Source organism: Homo sapiens, chromosome 6 (assembly GCF_000001405.40).
Source record: "Homo sapiens chromosome 6, GRCh38.p14 Primary Assembly".
Classification (NCBI taxonomy): Eukaryota; Metazoa; Chordata; class Mammalia; order Primates; family Hominidae; genus Homo; species Homo sapiens.
The window spans coordinates 163,903,233-163,919,326 of record NC_000006.12 but is presented as its reverse complement, the minus strand read 5'-3'; the positions used below and the strand labels follow the sequence as shown (position 1 = coordinate 163,919,326).

Below are 16,094 nucleotides of genomic sequence, written 5' to 3'. Positions count from 1 at the left end.
GGAGGATGTTCCAGAACTTCTGGATGTATTTCTTGGACCATGCTGGGAATGGTAAAATTCACGTGGCTACCACCAACCCCAGAGAGAAAGCTCCTCAAATTTCCTGTCCAGACTAGAAGCTCCATGGTGCCAGGGCCATGCTGAACATAGTTTCCCTAAAAGCCCATTAGCCTTCCCAGGCTTTACCCCGGAGAGTGAGGTGCAACCTTCCTGCTGCTGGATCCCCTCGAAGTATCTGTTCCATCTTCTTCTTCTTCCCTAGCATTCAGTGGATAAGGAGTAAAAGGTGTGAAGATTTCTGGGGCATGCAGAGCACGCACATTTCCGTCTTCCCCCAGCATTCTCAAATCAGCCGAATTCTACCTTCACATTTCTTTTTTGCGTGGCGGGGAAATTATGATGTCGTCTAGATTTTCTTTTTCCTTTAATGTGTTTGGTACAAATCTCGTGCATAGTGTTCTAAGCTTAGTTCTTCATAGTCAAGCCCCATCTTCTTTAGTCCCTAAGAATGTATTTTATTATTTCCCCCTTAAAGTCCGGTTCTTGTCAATCAAAATCAGTTTGGCTTTCAGGCTATAGTTTCTGTTACCTGTTTAAGGAATCCATCCAGATATTAAAGTTTCCCATTTCTTCCAGGCTCTATTTCCATCCCACTGAGACCAGAGTTTCTCATTGTCACTAGAAACAAGAGGAAAGATGAGGGGTGAAAAGGGTGAAAAAAAAACGGAGTAAGTTAATATCGAATTGATGTCACAAATATGGAAACTCAGGAGCCAATCAGCCCTCATCCAACACACATGCTTTTATTCAGACTATTGCTCCACGGGCTAAATAATACATATATTGCCCCTAAGGCAGAGATGTATGATAAATATAATAAACAATTATGGGGATTGTTGGTTAATTTATACATTTTCTACATTATAAACTATCTTGCCAAATACACAACTCCACCCAATAGATTTAATAGGTTTTAAGAAATATCTTGAAGGCAATAATAGATCTTAAGTAATACCTTGAAGGCAAAGATCATGCCCCAGACTTGTGAATATGTCACAGCTCTATTGCAGGTGAGGTGCCCAGCAGATGTGCCATAGACCCTGCTCTGCTCACAGCTAAGGAAGTATAAGTCTATTCGTTGTTCTCTACTTAACAGAGAATCATTCAAAGGAAATTGGTGGTAATTTGTTAAGAGGAGATGATGTTAGGAGAGGGAAGATGTTCCTATTATTCAATATTTAATGGGTATTTTGTGTCAAGAAACTCTGTGGGCAACTGAAGCAATATGCCAAGAAATATCTATGAGAATGAGTTAAGATCACCGTATTAGGTAAGGTGACCATGTAGTTTATTATTTGAAGTGGGAAATATTTTTTAAGGGAGCACTGTTAATTATTTATCTCACACACACTGAAATGTATTGTTACCCTAATATCAGAAGACCTTAAGACATAGTAGAGTCACAGAACATTCAAGATGCAAAATACTTAGAAAATTATGTAGTTCTTTATTGAGAGGGAAAAGATCCATTCCCCAGAACAAGAGATGTTATTTCCGAGAAACTGGTTTTTGTTAACACAGAGAGATACCGGGAAAAAAAATATATTTGGCAGCCAAACAAATTTGGTGCATGTTCTTGGAGATCCACAATGCATGTTAACACACTACAGGGAAATCTTCAATAAGCAAACTTTGCTTAAAATAGCATTCCCCAAAATATCTGTACACTGATCTACTCCACCATTTTTGTTTGTTTGTTTTGGTAACACACTTACTGCCATCTTGCAGATAGAAACAGGTACCTAGTCAGTTTTCTCTAGTTTTATGGGGTTAGAAAAGGCCCAAGTAAATTCAGTAATTTTTCCAGGGTCTTTTGTTGTTGAGACAGAGTCTCACTCTGTCACCCAGGCTGAAGTGCAGTGGCGCGATCTCGGTTCACTACAACCTCCACCTCCTGGGTTCAAGCAATTCTCCTGTCTCAGGCTCCTGAATAGCTGGGACTACCGCATGCCACCATGCCAAATTAATTTTCTGTATTTTTAGTAGAGACAGGGTTCACCGTGTTAGCCAGGATGGTCTCGATCTCCTGACCTCGTGATCCACCTGCCTTGGCCTCCCAAAGTGCTGGGATTACAGGCGTGAGCCACCATACCCGGCCCAGGGCCTTTTATAGTTGCTGGGTAGCAGGGCTAAAATAGAAATGGAGTAATAATAGAAGTAGTAACGGTAGCATCACAGTAGCAATAGTGGCAGCAGTAGTAGTAGTAACATTAGCAGTGATCATGGTTACTATTTATTGAGCTCCTTCCATTCTGCACATTGCAAGGGATCAAAAATCCCTATATGTTTACCAGTCTCCCCAACCAGCAGCTAAACTCAAGGAGGGCAGCTTTCACTAATGTATCCTCAATATTTCAGCAGAGCTCCTGATGTAATGTAGGCCCTTCATAAATATTTATTGATTACTGAATGAATAAATGCATATGCACAGTAAATTCTAAGACTAAAAAAGAACTGCCCAAATGGGCCAGAGTGTTCCTTTATTTTTATGAATCAACAAATCTCTGTCTCCTTTTTCTCCCCTGCTTTCAAAGGTACAAACGTACAGTGCAGTGTATGTTCAGAACAGCTCTGTGAAATTTCTCCAGTTCCAGGAAACAAAATTTTGAATGACAGTTTCTCATGTAAATGAGAAAAGACACATTACAACCATTTTGGAGATTACCTTGAATTATGAACAACACACAGAAGGAAAATTCGAACAGGGCTTTGCTATTCACCAGGGTCACACACTGAAAAGATCCCCACCGCAGAATTATTCCGTTAACAATCATCAGAATAAAAGGTAACAGCAGGTGTTGGCAGGCAAGAAGAAACCGGCCTACAAAATGAGGGGTATTACCTGTAATAATGAAATTTAAACATTTTAATGAGCCTACTGGGATCCACTTGGTAATTACTGTTTAATAAAAGGAAAAATAAACAAAAGGGAAAATGATATATGTTCTCGAATCAGAAAATAAATACTTTAATAAATTACTCATCTTTGATTTTAGTGTATTCTGTGACTAGGGTGCTTTTCTGATGTCTATTTCAAGGAGGTTAGTTTTTTATGTTTAGTCTAAAGGAAAAATTAAGAGGTGACCTCATGACGTAGTGAATGTCTTCAAATATTTAAAGAACTCTCATAAGCAAGGGAGCAAGTGCCTTTGCTCCCTTCTGCCTCCAGAGAAAAGATCTAAGATCAGCAGTGGAAGTAACAGAGAGGCACATTACATATATGAATGTAGACAAGAATTTTCTCATCATCAGAGCTGGCCAATAGTGGGTCAGTTTGCCTTGAATATTACAGAGTTGGGTTTCCTGTCACTGGAATTGATGGGCAGAGCTGGGGCCACCATCTGTCAGGGGTGCTATTGAGGGCAAATTTTATTTAGACAAGTTGACATTGAACTTGTTCTTTAACTTCTGGGATCCTCCAACTCTCTGTGGGACATGAAAGATTTTTATTTTCCTGCAATTTCAGCCCCAATGCAGGACATTTGGTGAGTGTCACCAAGTGGTAGCTAGTTTCATGGGGTTATTGGCACCGACATTCTTAACTAAGCACACAGGTTAACACCAACTTCTTCCCATCTGTTCAAGGCAAGTAGGAAGGCAAGAAAGACACATGCCATAGAGAGTCTCCTCTGTCACCTCATTCTCGGTCTGGTCCTGCCAGGGAATCTCACCGAACGTAGAAGACAGAGGCTTAAACTGCCATCATAAGAAACCTCCAGTGAGTCCTCAAGAACAAGCAAGGACTTTGGGCAAGTTCTAATCCAAGGCTGCACTGAATCCCTTGTCATCATGCACTTCCATCTAAACGTAGATAACCCACAAAAGTCAACAAGAAAGAGACAACCGAACAGAAAAGCAGGCTAAACCCTTTGCAAAAGAGGACATCGAAACGGCCCATAAGTATACAAAATTCCTTAGTCACTTAGTAATCAAAGAAATGCAGATTAAAACTACAAGATAAGGCCAGGCGCAGCGCCTCACGCCTGTAATCCCAGCACTTTGGGAGGCAGAGGCAGGTGGATCACCTGAGCTCAGGAATTCAAGACCAGCCTGGGCAAAATAGTGAAACCCCATCTCTACAAAAAATACAAAAATTAGACAGCGTGGTGGTGCACCTGTAGTCCCAGCTACTTGAAGGGCTGATGCGGTAGGATTGCTTGAGCCCAGGAAGTTGAGGCTGCAGTGAGCTGTGATTGCGCCACTGAACTCTATGGATGATAAAGCAAGACCCTGTCTCATACCAAAAGAAAGCAAACAAACAACAACAAAAAAAGATACTACTATATGACCACCAGAGAAGCTAAAATTAAAAAGACTGACTATACCAAGAGTTGACACAGAAGTGGAACAATTGTAATTCTCATAAATTGCTGGTGTGAGTGTATATTTGTACAACAACTTTGGAAAACTGGCAGTATCTAGTAAGTCTGAACATATGCATCTCTTGTCACCCAGAAATGACACTCCTCTGTATCTAGACAAATGTGTACTTTTGTGCATCCAAAGACCTGTACAAGGTTGTTCACAGCAGCACCATTTATGATAGCCAAAAATGAGAATACAACTCAAATATATACAAGAGAAAAACAGATTTTGGTATATCCATAAAATGAAACACTTCACAGCAAAAACAGCCTACAGCTACATGCAATAGCGTGAATGAGTCTCACAACATGAAGAGAAAGAACATGAACAAAAATAGTACACCCCACATGATTCCATTTATATGAAGTTCACTGACAGACAAAATTAATCTTTGGCTTTAGAAGTCAGAATAGTAATTACCTTTAGGGTGATGACAATGATCGAGAGAGGAACAAGGGGAACTTCAGTAGCACTGGCAGCATTTTCTTCCTGGGATTGGGCTTGGTGAACAAGATGTATTCACTTTGTGCATTCACTGAGCTGTGTAGTTGTGATCTGTGCACTTTTCTGTACATCATGCATCAATAAAAGTTTGCTAAAATAGAGTATTAGACTGAAAAATTCTTATAACCTGTAATTTCTCCAGCTGATTTTTACTTTGCTTAATATTAAATAATTCTAAAATTCAGATTGACTGCATGTGAGTTCTGGGAAAGGAGAGGAAACCACATAATGATCTGGAAGAAACCAGTGTATTCCAGAACCAAAGTAGAGGCTGGTGTTAGGAATCACATGGCATCCCAACAGAAGCTGTGAGGATGATGATGGACACCTTGGTCCAGAGAAGACTAATGCTTGACTGATAGATGGAGGGAAACAAATAATATGGCTTCATTCATTCCATGTAAAATTATTGCCACCCAAACATTCAACCCATGAATGCCCACACACATACTAAATGCACAAGGTCACAGAGATGAAAGCCTGTTTATTCATTTGCAAGTTATAACCATATAGAATATCTTATTTCTTGAAGTTGCTCTCTTTTGTGCAAAGACATCACATATTCATTGCCATTTTAAATGTATTGTGACAGGTTCATCGCCCACCAGACTTATTGCCATATAGAACAGGACAGAAACAAAGTTCCTATCCATACTCAATTACAGTGTTTTCTGATTTAAACTGAGTTCATAAGAGTTTACAGATAAAGTTTCTCCACTCTTCATTGTACCATAATTGATTTCCATTACACCTTGTTGCACACCTGTGGCATGTGTTTGATTGAGGCAGGAGTCTGTAAAAGATGCTGCCAAACCGGCTTGTCCATTCTAGGGCCAAAATATTGAAATAACTTTTTCTTTGAGTTCTAATTCAGTAACAAAATTTAGAAAGGCTTATTTGTAAAAAAGACAGCAAAATAACTGGGAAACATTGCCCTGACAGAGGAAATGATAACTACGTACATTATTCTGAACAGTGAAGTCCCATTTTATATGTATGCATGTGTAGCTATCTATATGCGTATATGTCTATCTCTCTACCTATCTAGCTTTCACAGTTCGTGCATAAATGTCAAATGCCCATTCACCAGAGGCTTGATGCAACTTGCAGCGTGGGTGTCTTCTGAGTGATTTCTGACCCAGGCTGGACTGGGCGTTCCATTTCTTCCTGCCTAGCTCTGCCTCACACCGCTAAGTCCCACTCCATATTCATCTGCCTGGATGGTTTCTTCTCTGTATTCAGAGAATTGTCAGCCTTCCTGGGCATAGCTGCCCAAAGGTCACATCTTACCCACGCATTTCAGGAGATTTGTTTCCTGGAATATTTGCCTCCGAAGACTACGGTGCTTTCTCCTCAATTTGGAGCATTTATCTTACCTCCACCCACCAGTGCTGAAACTTCTGGTGCTTTATAAAGCAGCAGAGGACTTCTTAATTGAATCTAAAGAATTCCATGTTGTGTAGAAATTATAACTTCTATAATATTTCCTGTTTCAGTTACCTTTACCTCCCTTTTCATTTTCCCCTAGAATACAGCTACCTAGCATTTTGCTGTTTAACTATTCCCTGGTGACTTTCATTGAGACCAGGTCTCAAGACACATGCTATTTCAGTGACAAAGGACATTCTTAAGGGAAGGATTCAAACAACATCCTATCTGTTCTCCAGCTTTATTCACCTTCACCACTTTGGGCATCTCTTCCCATTTCTTCTGAATTTGAGTTCCTTGAGAAGTCTTTCACATCTGACTCATCTTAAATTATCCATACTGTAAATTTTACATATGTTTTCTACAAATATTTCTTTAATACATTTTTAAGTGATTACATAAATACTTTAAATATCTTGGGTTTTGCCATTTTAAAAGTCTATTTTAAAAAACACTAGATTAGTCGCTTTGCACTGTCTCTTCTCTGCTATAACCCTCTCACCTTTGTTAGTTCTGTGTATAAATTAAACACATCTTTAAAACTGACCACTTTCCAACAGTCTATCCAAATTATGGTACCATTTTGAGTCACTGAATTTAACGAAAGGGGAGTAATGGTGGATGGCGTGGTCAGACTACCCTCCCACAAAAAGAATTAGAAAAGATAGAAACAATTTTTTTTTTTTGAGACGGAGTCTCACTCTGTCACCCAGGCTGGAGTACAGTGGCGTGATCTCAGCTCACTGCAAGCTCCGCCTCCCAGGTTCACACCATTCTCCTGCCTCAGCCTCCCGAGTGGCTGGGACTACAGGTGCCCACCACCACGCCCGGCTAATTTTTTGTATTTTTAGTAGAGACAGGGTTTCACCGTGTTAGCCAGGATGGTCTCAATCTCCTGACCTCGTGATCCGCCCACCTTGGCCTCCCAAAGTGCTGGGATTACAGGCGTGAGCCACTGCGCCCGGCCGACACATTTTTTTTTTTTTTTAAACTAAGGCACTGAAAATGACCACATGGCAGGTAAAAACTGGATTGGAGGCCAGCCTCGAACGATGGAAACGTCAACAGGTGAGATTCCAGAGCTTGCTGCTTTTTGCCTGAGGGTACTCCCAACCCCTGCATTTTGAGCAGCAGAAGCCACAGCCTTACTCACTAAAAAGGGCAGAGAACACAGCAGATGGATTGGGGAGTAGCTGCAAGTATGGGAGGGAATCCTGGAAGGGAGAGGGATGCAGAGGGGGTAACCTTGACTCCTAAATTCTGTATTCACACTTTGTGCATTCATTGATCACAGATCCCAGTGATCCCCATGAGAAAACAGCAGCTGGAGGCATAAATAATAGAGACTTCAGCTTGTGCCCACTGCAGGGGAGATGGAATTTGGAGCTTGAGCCCAGATTGTGAGAACAAAATTCAATACTCTTCAGAGGGACAGGACAGTGCCCATACTCTCTGTATTATTATGTCCCAAATACAATTAAAAATCACTAGACATAGAACAGGAAAATTGACCAGAACTCAAGAGAAAGGGCAGTCAAAAAAATGACTCCAGATTATAACCTAGATGTTGCAATTAGCAGACAAGATTTTAAAGCAGCTATCAAATAAATATACATTCAGGAACTCAAAGGAAAATATTATCATCATGAAAACAGATGCAATCTCAGAAGAGAAATAAAAATTGTTAAATAAAGCAAATTCTAGAGCTGAAAACTATAAAATTAAAATCATATGGGCCTGGTTTAATAGTAGATTAGAAATGGTAGAAGATTCATTACACCTGAAGATAGATAGAAATTATTCAACCTAGGGCAGGTGCAGTGGCTCAAGCCTGTAATCCCAGCGTTTCGGGAGGCCAAAGAAGGACGATCACTTGAGCCCAGGAGTTCAAGACCAGCTTGGGCAACAAAGAAAGACCCCATCTCTACAAACAATTAAAGAAGATTTAGCCCATCATGGTGCCTGTAGTCCCACCTTTTCAGGAGACTGAAATGGGAGGATCACTTGAGCCCAGGAGTTCAAGGATGCAGTGACCTAGGATTGTGCCATTGCACTCCAGCCTGGATGGCAGAGTGAGACGAAGATGAAGATGAAGAAAGAAGGAAGAAGAGGAAGAAAGAAGGAAGAAGAGGAAGAAGGAGAAAAAGGGGAGGAGGAACAGGAAGAGGAAAAAGAAGACAAAGAGGAAGAAGAGACAGCAGCAGAAAAAGACGAAATTATTCAATCTAAAGAACTGAGAGAAAATTAATTGAAGAAACATAATCAGAGCCTGAAAGATCTGTTGGACAATCATATACATATTTATGTACAATTGGAGTCTCAGAAGGAGAGAAAAGAGAGTGAGGCAGAAGAAAATAACTGAAGAATAATGACTGAAAATTTCTCAAATTTGGTAAAAGATTTAACCAAAGGGCCCATTCAGATGGAATAAGACACTTGTGGTAACATAAACATTAAGATTTTAGGACTTGTCACAGCCCCCCAAAAATACTTGACACCTTTAGGCTTTATAAGGAAACTAATTACCTTAAACTCAAAGTTTATTTCTCCCTCTGAATGTGAAGTCAGAATTATTTTTGTTTCTCAATTATGATGTTTCTCAGTTATTCATTACACTCATGATTTAAAAACGGATCTATTTCCATAAGTGAACAGAAGACACAGAGCATGCATGCACTGTTTCCTCGCAGTGTCATTTTGCTCTTCACTAGTACCTCTATTCGGGTGTGCATCCTTCTGGCCCTACCCATCAAGACTGCCCGAGGTCGGCCACACTTCATTGCTGTTCTATAAAGTAGCCTTCTCTGCTTCATTATGCAGCGTTATTCATTTCTTTATCTCAGCAATAGAATATTACATTTTACTATGTTATCCTCCTGCTTAGAGAATAGCTATTTATTTCTTAATAAAACAGTACAGTGTGTTTTCTCCATGATTATTTAAGACTCAGCTGAGACATAAGAACAATGAAATAAAAAATTAAATACTCTCCTCTCAGGATTTAACTAGCTGAACTAGGTAAAATGATGATTTTCTTTAAAACTTCCATTTTATTTCCTCCTAGTATATAGTTTTATATTCTTCAGGACAATGTCCATCATGCATAATGTCATAAAGGAAAACTATTAATATACATTGAAAGGAAATCCTACCAAAAGCATATTAGAAATACTGGTAAACAAAAAAAAAAGGCAGTTCTCTGTAGTTAAAATAAGTAAATATAGTAACTAGCGTTATTCAATGGAATTCAATAGACATTTATTGAGAACCTACAGTGTGCTAGTGTTATGTTGTTTTAGTTATTATAAGATGGTTTACATAGCTCAGTATACTCTTCAATATAATATGATTTTATATACATGTCTTTTTAGATGTTACTCAAGCAGAGAAATGAAAACATTGGAACAGCTAAAAACAACATCTAAAGAAGAAAATAGGCAATAGCCTGGTAATATTTTCACAAACTAAAACCATGAAGTTTCACTGCTTCTAACACTAGCCGTAAGCTACAAATTGGATTCGTAAAGCTCTTCACATACCAGTTAGGAGTAGGCAGTAGAACTGGCATTGACAAATGAGCTGTCAGCTGCATTTACCATCTTTTTAAAAAAATTTTTAATTTTCTTCCCAAATGTCAGGGTCACACCCTTGAAATTCATGTAATTAAACAACAACAAATCTTAGGAAGAAAGTGGGGAATCAAAGTTGTAGTCACGTTACAAAAGAATGCATGACTCCCTGCAGCAGCGCAGTTAAATGCTGGGGCTGGATTCTGGCTTGCTTTAATGAAAATCTGTTCAATCAAGCCAGGAAAACTTTAGAGAGGGTGAGAGATGTGTAATCTGCCAAAAAGTCTGTGTGAAGGTTTCCTAGGAGCATTCTGAGAGTCCCTGGCGGGACTCACCTTCACCAATGAGAGATGCAATCAGGCGGATCTCCCACACAGGTTAACGTGGTTTATTTTATTTGTTTATAAGATATATCGAGCATTGGCCGGGCGCAGTGGCTCACGCCTGTAATCCTAGCACTTTGGGAGGCCGAGGCGGGCGGATCACAAGGTCAGGAAATCGAGACCATCCTGGCTAACACAGTGAAACCCCGTCTCTACTAAAAATACAAAAAAATAGCCGGGCGTGGTGGCGGTGCCTGTAGTCCCAGCTACTCAGGAGGCTGAGGCAGGAGAATGGCGTGAACCCGGTGGGCGGAGGTTGCAGTGAGCCGAGACCGCGCCACTGCACTCCAGCCTGGGCGACAGAGTGAGACTCCGTCTCAAAAAAAAAAAAAAAAAAGATATATCGAGCATTGCTAAACCTCAGCATATCGCTTGAACATTCAAATCCAAAGTGTTATATTTTTTTCCATCAATCTTTCGATACCCCATATTTTAGCCATTCTACCTCTATATGAGTGACAGCTGGGTGAACAGATAAAAGGAACAGCTAGCTAATTTAGACTTGAAGAATCAGATGTTTTGAAGAAAAGGAAATCTAAGATGAGAAGAAAAAAATGAGCAGGAATTAGCTACACCAGTAGAGGAAAGAATATTTCAGGCAAAGGGAAAAACATGTATAGAGAGAAAATGAAAGAAATCAGGCCCTATTTGAGATGTAAAAAAATTCAGTTTGCCTGGAGTGTTGTGTCCAGGGACTTGGAGATCCGAGGGGAGAGGCTGAAGAGTGCAGGGCAGAGCAGGTTCTCTCGGAAACTTGCTGTCAAGAGGTGCAGGAACAACTGAATTGCCTCCATCAGGCCAGTGCCCTCCTGACCAGATTTACATTTGTAAACGACCACTCTGGCTGTATCAGTGAGTAGGCAATAAAGGGGGCAACGTTCCACTCAGGGACGAGACATACATTTGGAAGCTATTTCCATAACCTCAGTGAAGCACTAATGGTGGAAAGCATTAAGATAATAGCGATGGAATGGGAGAAGGATGGGCATGTTTGGGGAAGTATTTAGAAGTTAGAAACCACAGACTTGCTATGTGGCAGTGGAAAAGAGAATGAAATCAGAGGCTATGGCCAGGATTTCTGGCAAAGACAAATGGCAAAAAGGAGGTACATTCACTGACTACAGTAGGATGAGGTTTATAGTGGAAGATAAGGCATTGAGTTTGGGTCTGATTGAATATGAAATACGTATGGGACAGGAAGGCAGAAACATCAGTGGTCAATTGGGTCTGAAAGCCAGGAGTTGTCCTTTTGGAAGATGGCAGACTGAAGCCATGGAATCAGACGGACATCACCCATGCAGTTGGAGGTGAGGCTGGCCCAAGAAGAAACCTTGAGGAACTGGGTTACCTCTAAAGAATAGGCAAACAAGGCCAGGTGCGGTGGCTTATGCTTGTAATCCCAGCACTTTGGGAGGCCGAGGTGGATGGATCACAAGGTCAGGAGATCGAGACCATCCTGGCTAACATGGTGAAACCCCATCTGTACTAAAAATACAAAAAATTAGCCAGGCGTGGTGGCAGGTGCCTGTAGTCCCAGCTACTCGGGAGGCTGAGGCAGGAGAGTGGTGTGAACCTGGGAGGTGGAGCTTGCAGTGAGCCGAGATCGTGCCACTGCACTCCAGCCTGGGCAACAGAGACTCCATCTCAAAAAACAAAAACAAACAAACAAACAAAAGAATAAGCAAACGAAAAAGAATACGTAAAAGAGATGGACAAAGACCAGATTCAGAAAAATAAGAAAACTGTGTCATGGGCCCCGCAAGAAGGGAGACTTTGAAGAAGGAGGAGAGATCAACAGTGCCAATTCCTATGCCCCTATCAAGTGAGCTAGGCATAACTTCCAGTATTCCATCCAAGATCTTAATTAAAACACTGAACAATAAAAGGCTCAGGATAAAACCTTGCTCCTATTCTTTCAATATGCTCAGCAATACTTTTTCAATCTGTTCATCAACACATTGAGCGTGCAATGATGAAAACTTCCAGAAGGATTATCATCAATCTTCACTTCTTTATGTATTTACAAGGTCATCATGGGAATTTTGCTAAATTCCCAGAAACTTCCTAGTCACATGGTGTCTCTGGCATTTTGCAGAATATCCTACATGTCTATCACAAGATGAATGGTATGACTTCTTCTTGATCCGGTCCTTAATTGAGGTGGTCACCACTTCCTTTACTGGTCAAATGAAAGCTTGAGGCTCACTTCATTGTAAATATCACCAGCCTCCCCCAGACTTGCCCAGCCCAGAGTTCGAACTCCAAACTCCATCAGTGCTGAAGGCAGACAGTGCACCAGTCAATACCAGCAGGCAGTTTAGGACATTGCCCTCTTTATTGTGGGGGCATCAGAAAGCCTTGCAGAGGGCAAGAGGAGGCAAAACATGGATTTTAGAGCCAAAGGTGAGTTTAAATCCTAGTTGCACCTCTTGGCTGCTGTGTGAGCGAGTGAGCGATAGATCGTTAAAGAATTCATTTCCTCATTCATTAATCAAAGATAAAAATATTTATGAGAACTACAGGATGCAGTGTGTGTTGCTTCACATTGTGCTAATGTGGAATAGACTCCAAAAAAAAAATACCAGTTTTCCTCAGACCCCAGGACCTCTTAACAGACTGTATAGTCTCAGAGGGCAGAGAGAGTTCTGTTTAGTTCCTGTCAATCTCGTAGTCTTATTATGAACTTATTAAACTCATGTATTTATTCAAAATACACTAAGTTGGGAATGACTAGAGATGGAGCTAGGGTTGGTGGAAGGAACACACGGATATTATACTATTGGGAAATACTGGGGGCGGGGAGTGGAAGCAGATCTGCAGCATATTTAGGTCTTTGACCTCTTGTGCTTGTTAAGGGACAAGGTTTGAAATGTGTGTAACGGAAGCAGAATTCTAGCAGAGCGCTATGTGTGATACATGTAAGAATAGTGTGTAGGAGAATGCTGAGATATAGGTAGAGACAGGTGATGAGGCTAACACCATGTGCATGAGGGAAAGAGTGATTGCCCATCTGTTTGCCCACACAGGAGCATGGCGCACAGGCCTGGCACGTTCAGAGCACGACCATGTTCCTCAACATCTCTGGATCCTGACTTTTAGAGGCAGGACAAACGTATTTATTAAAAATCTGGCGAGGTGCAATGACTCACGCCTGTAATCCCAGCACTTTGAGAGGCTGAGGTGGGCAGATCGCCTGAGGTCAGGAGTCCAAGACCAGCCTGGCCAACATGGTGAAACCTTGTCTCTACTAAAAATACAAAAATTAGCCAGGCGTGATAGCGGGTGCCTGTAATCCCAGCTACTCGGGAGGCTGAGGCAGAAGAATCCCTTGAACCCAGGAGGCGGAGCTTGCATTGAGCTGAGATGGCGCCATTGCACTCCAGCCTGGGCAACAGAGCAAGACTCCATTTTAAATTAAAAAAAAAAAAAAAATCCATGCTTTGTGGTCCAAAGGCTTATAGGGTAAGGTCTCTGCCATCCAGAAGCTTACAAATATAGTTGGGTAAATAAGAAACATCCACGAATGGAACAAAATAACATATGACAAGGCTCATGGGTAGGTGGAGTGCAGAGAAACGGCTGTGAGTGACATCAGGCCACTGAGGCGTGACTCTTGGCTCTGGTTCTTACCATCCTGGTAAACGGCAGCTAGTGACTTAACCTCTTTGTGCCCGAAGTTCCTTGTTAATAGCATAAGGATGCTGAGGTAATTCAGCGAGGTGTTTTTAGCACTTTGCCAGGCATATACAAAAGCAGCCAATAAACGGCAGCATCATTATCAGTTGCTTTGAGTAATTCACTTCCTCCCAACATTAGTTCTCTCATCTGTAAAGCTGGACAATTGGACAAAAATAGCTAAAATCCCCATCGATTCTAAAAATCTATACATGATAGAAACGAGAAAAGATCTAATTCAGGGCAGGAAAAGTGTTCCCATGGGTGTCAACCCAACACAGACTCCGTGGTGGACATGGGCTTTGCTCTAGCTCTTGGCAACATGATGTTGAGCTGGGAGCACACTATTTTAGTGGCAGCGATTGATCCAGAAAGAGAAGTGGGAGATAAGGCTGGAAATAAAGACAGTGGTTAACTAAGGAACACTGTAAATGGTAAGTAATGGACTCAGAATTTACCCCTTGGAAATAGAGAGCCACTGAAGATTTGAGACACATAAGTGGTATAATTTATATGACTCTTCAGAGTTTGTCTGGGTATGGTATGGGCAGAAATGGTTGGCCAGAGATACGGTTCTAGAGAAAACTTATCAGGAAGCAACCACAATCATTCAGACCCAAAAGAATAAAGCCTTGAACTCAGGCAGGGACAATGAACATGGATAAGAAAAGATAATGGCCAACTCCCGTCCTGCATTGCTGTCAGAAGACCTGAGCAAGGGCTGACAAGAAGCCTCCAAGCTGCCCCATTCATCTGGGCATGGCACCCCGAGCCTGAACGTCTCGATGTAGGGAACCTGCATCTGCATATTTGAACAAGACTGGGTGCATCTGAATTTTGCTAATGGATGACAAATAACAATCGGTATTTCTTTGCTCCACTTCTTTTCTTGTCTTAAAATAAACCATGATCGACTAGTCACAGCTGCACTCACACAAAGAAATAGCAGTCTTTGACTTCAAAGGGAAACAGCTGAGAAGGGAGAAAACAAACAAAATTGCAAGATCTGAGATTTCATCTGGCGTGAGAATGATTTTTTAAAAGCATTTCTTACCCTAAACTGTTTCCTGTCTCATTTGAAAGCATCCCCAGTCGGCTGATAGCTCACATGCCAGGGTAAAGGTACCATCAAGGGAAGGCTGTGCAATCACAGGCTGCGGCTCTTTCTCCCAGGACTCCGCTTCCTCTTAGTGAAAGCAAACACTGATGCCATTCTAATATCTGTTAAAGAAAACATTGGGAAAAAAGCAGCATAATTTTTGGAAAAGTTGAAGATTTAGATGCTTGAAGGTCATGGGCTTTACAGAGGAAGTCACAGGATGATACTTTTCAAAGGTCAACAAGAAAAATAGAAGGTTCTACTCTTGGCCTTCTCTGGCTATAGAGTAATCGGATGCTGCAAACATCAACGAATTCCTGGGACAGGTTTCTACAGAGAATGTAAACCTTAATGTTATCTGATATTTGAGTTGTCCAAACTCAAGCAAATTGCACAAAAGTCTAATCCCAGGCAGGGAATCAGAGCTGCAGATCTAATTGGGACCACACACTTCTGTCCATCAGACCGGTGCTGTGTGCAACGGTGGAAAGATGAATTACAATCTGGATGTTTAAAGTCTTAATATGAAAGAGAGAGGCAGCAGGGAAAGTAGTCGGGTGGGGGCTGACTGAGAAAAACTGGCCAGAAACACAGGCAGGGATTTCATTCTGGAGAATTACCTTGCCCCACGCGCTGCAGATGGTGGCAAAGGCAGTCTTCAAAGGGCACCCTGCGGGCAACAACTCCTCTCTCTGGTCCGCACTGCCTCCTGCCTCCATCCAGTCTGTTGCTGATGTAAAGAATCCAGGCTTCTGTGATGGGAAGGGAATGGATAAAGACACAGTAACCCCAACGCCAGCTAATACCTTCTCTTCCTTTTGGAAGGAATTCCTAGCCAGGTTCCCACGCACCAATTTCTTCTTGCTCTGAACCTTTACAGCACTTGATGTCTGGCATTTATCATGAGTTACCTTCTGGCATCTCATTTGTTGTTTTTTTTGTTTAACTTCTCCTAACATCTCAGAGCTGAAAGAGGCACCTAGAAGATTCCAACCACCGCTTTCATATTGG

The 16,094-nt window shown here is 41.4% G+C and overlaps 1 long non-coding RNA gene across 1 annotated transcript in view; it reads right to left on the bottom strand.

The window, feature by feature from the left end:
- Positions 1-15,827, bottom strand: part of LOC105378102 (uncharacterized) — a 155,467-nt gene extending 139,640 nt beyond the window's left edge. Inside the window, exons 1-3 of the long non-coding RNA XR_943213.4 lie at positions 15,704-15,827; positions 15,039-15,205; positions 590-678 (exon numbers count right to left, since the gene is read on the bottom strand). This is a non-coding gene — a long non-coding RNA (uncharacterized LOC105378102). The remainder of the gene's footprint in view (positions 1-589; positions 679-15,038; positions 15,206-15,703) is intronic.
- Positions 15,828-16,094: the final 267 nt, after the last annotated feature.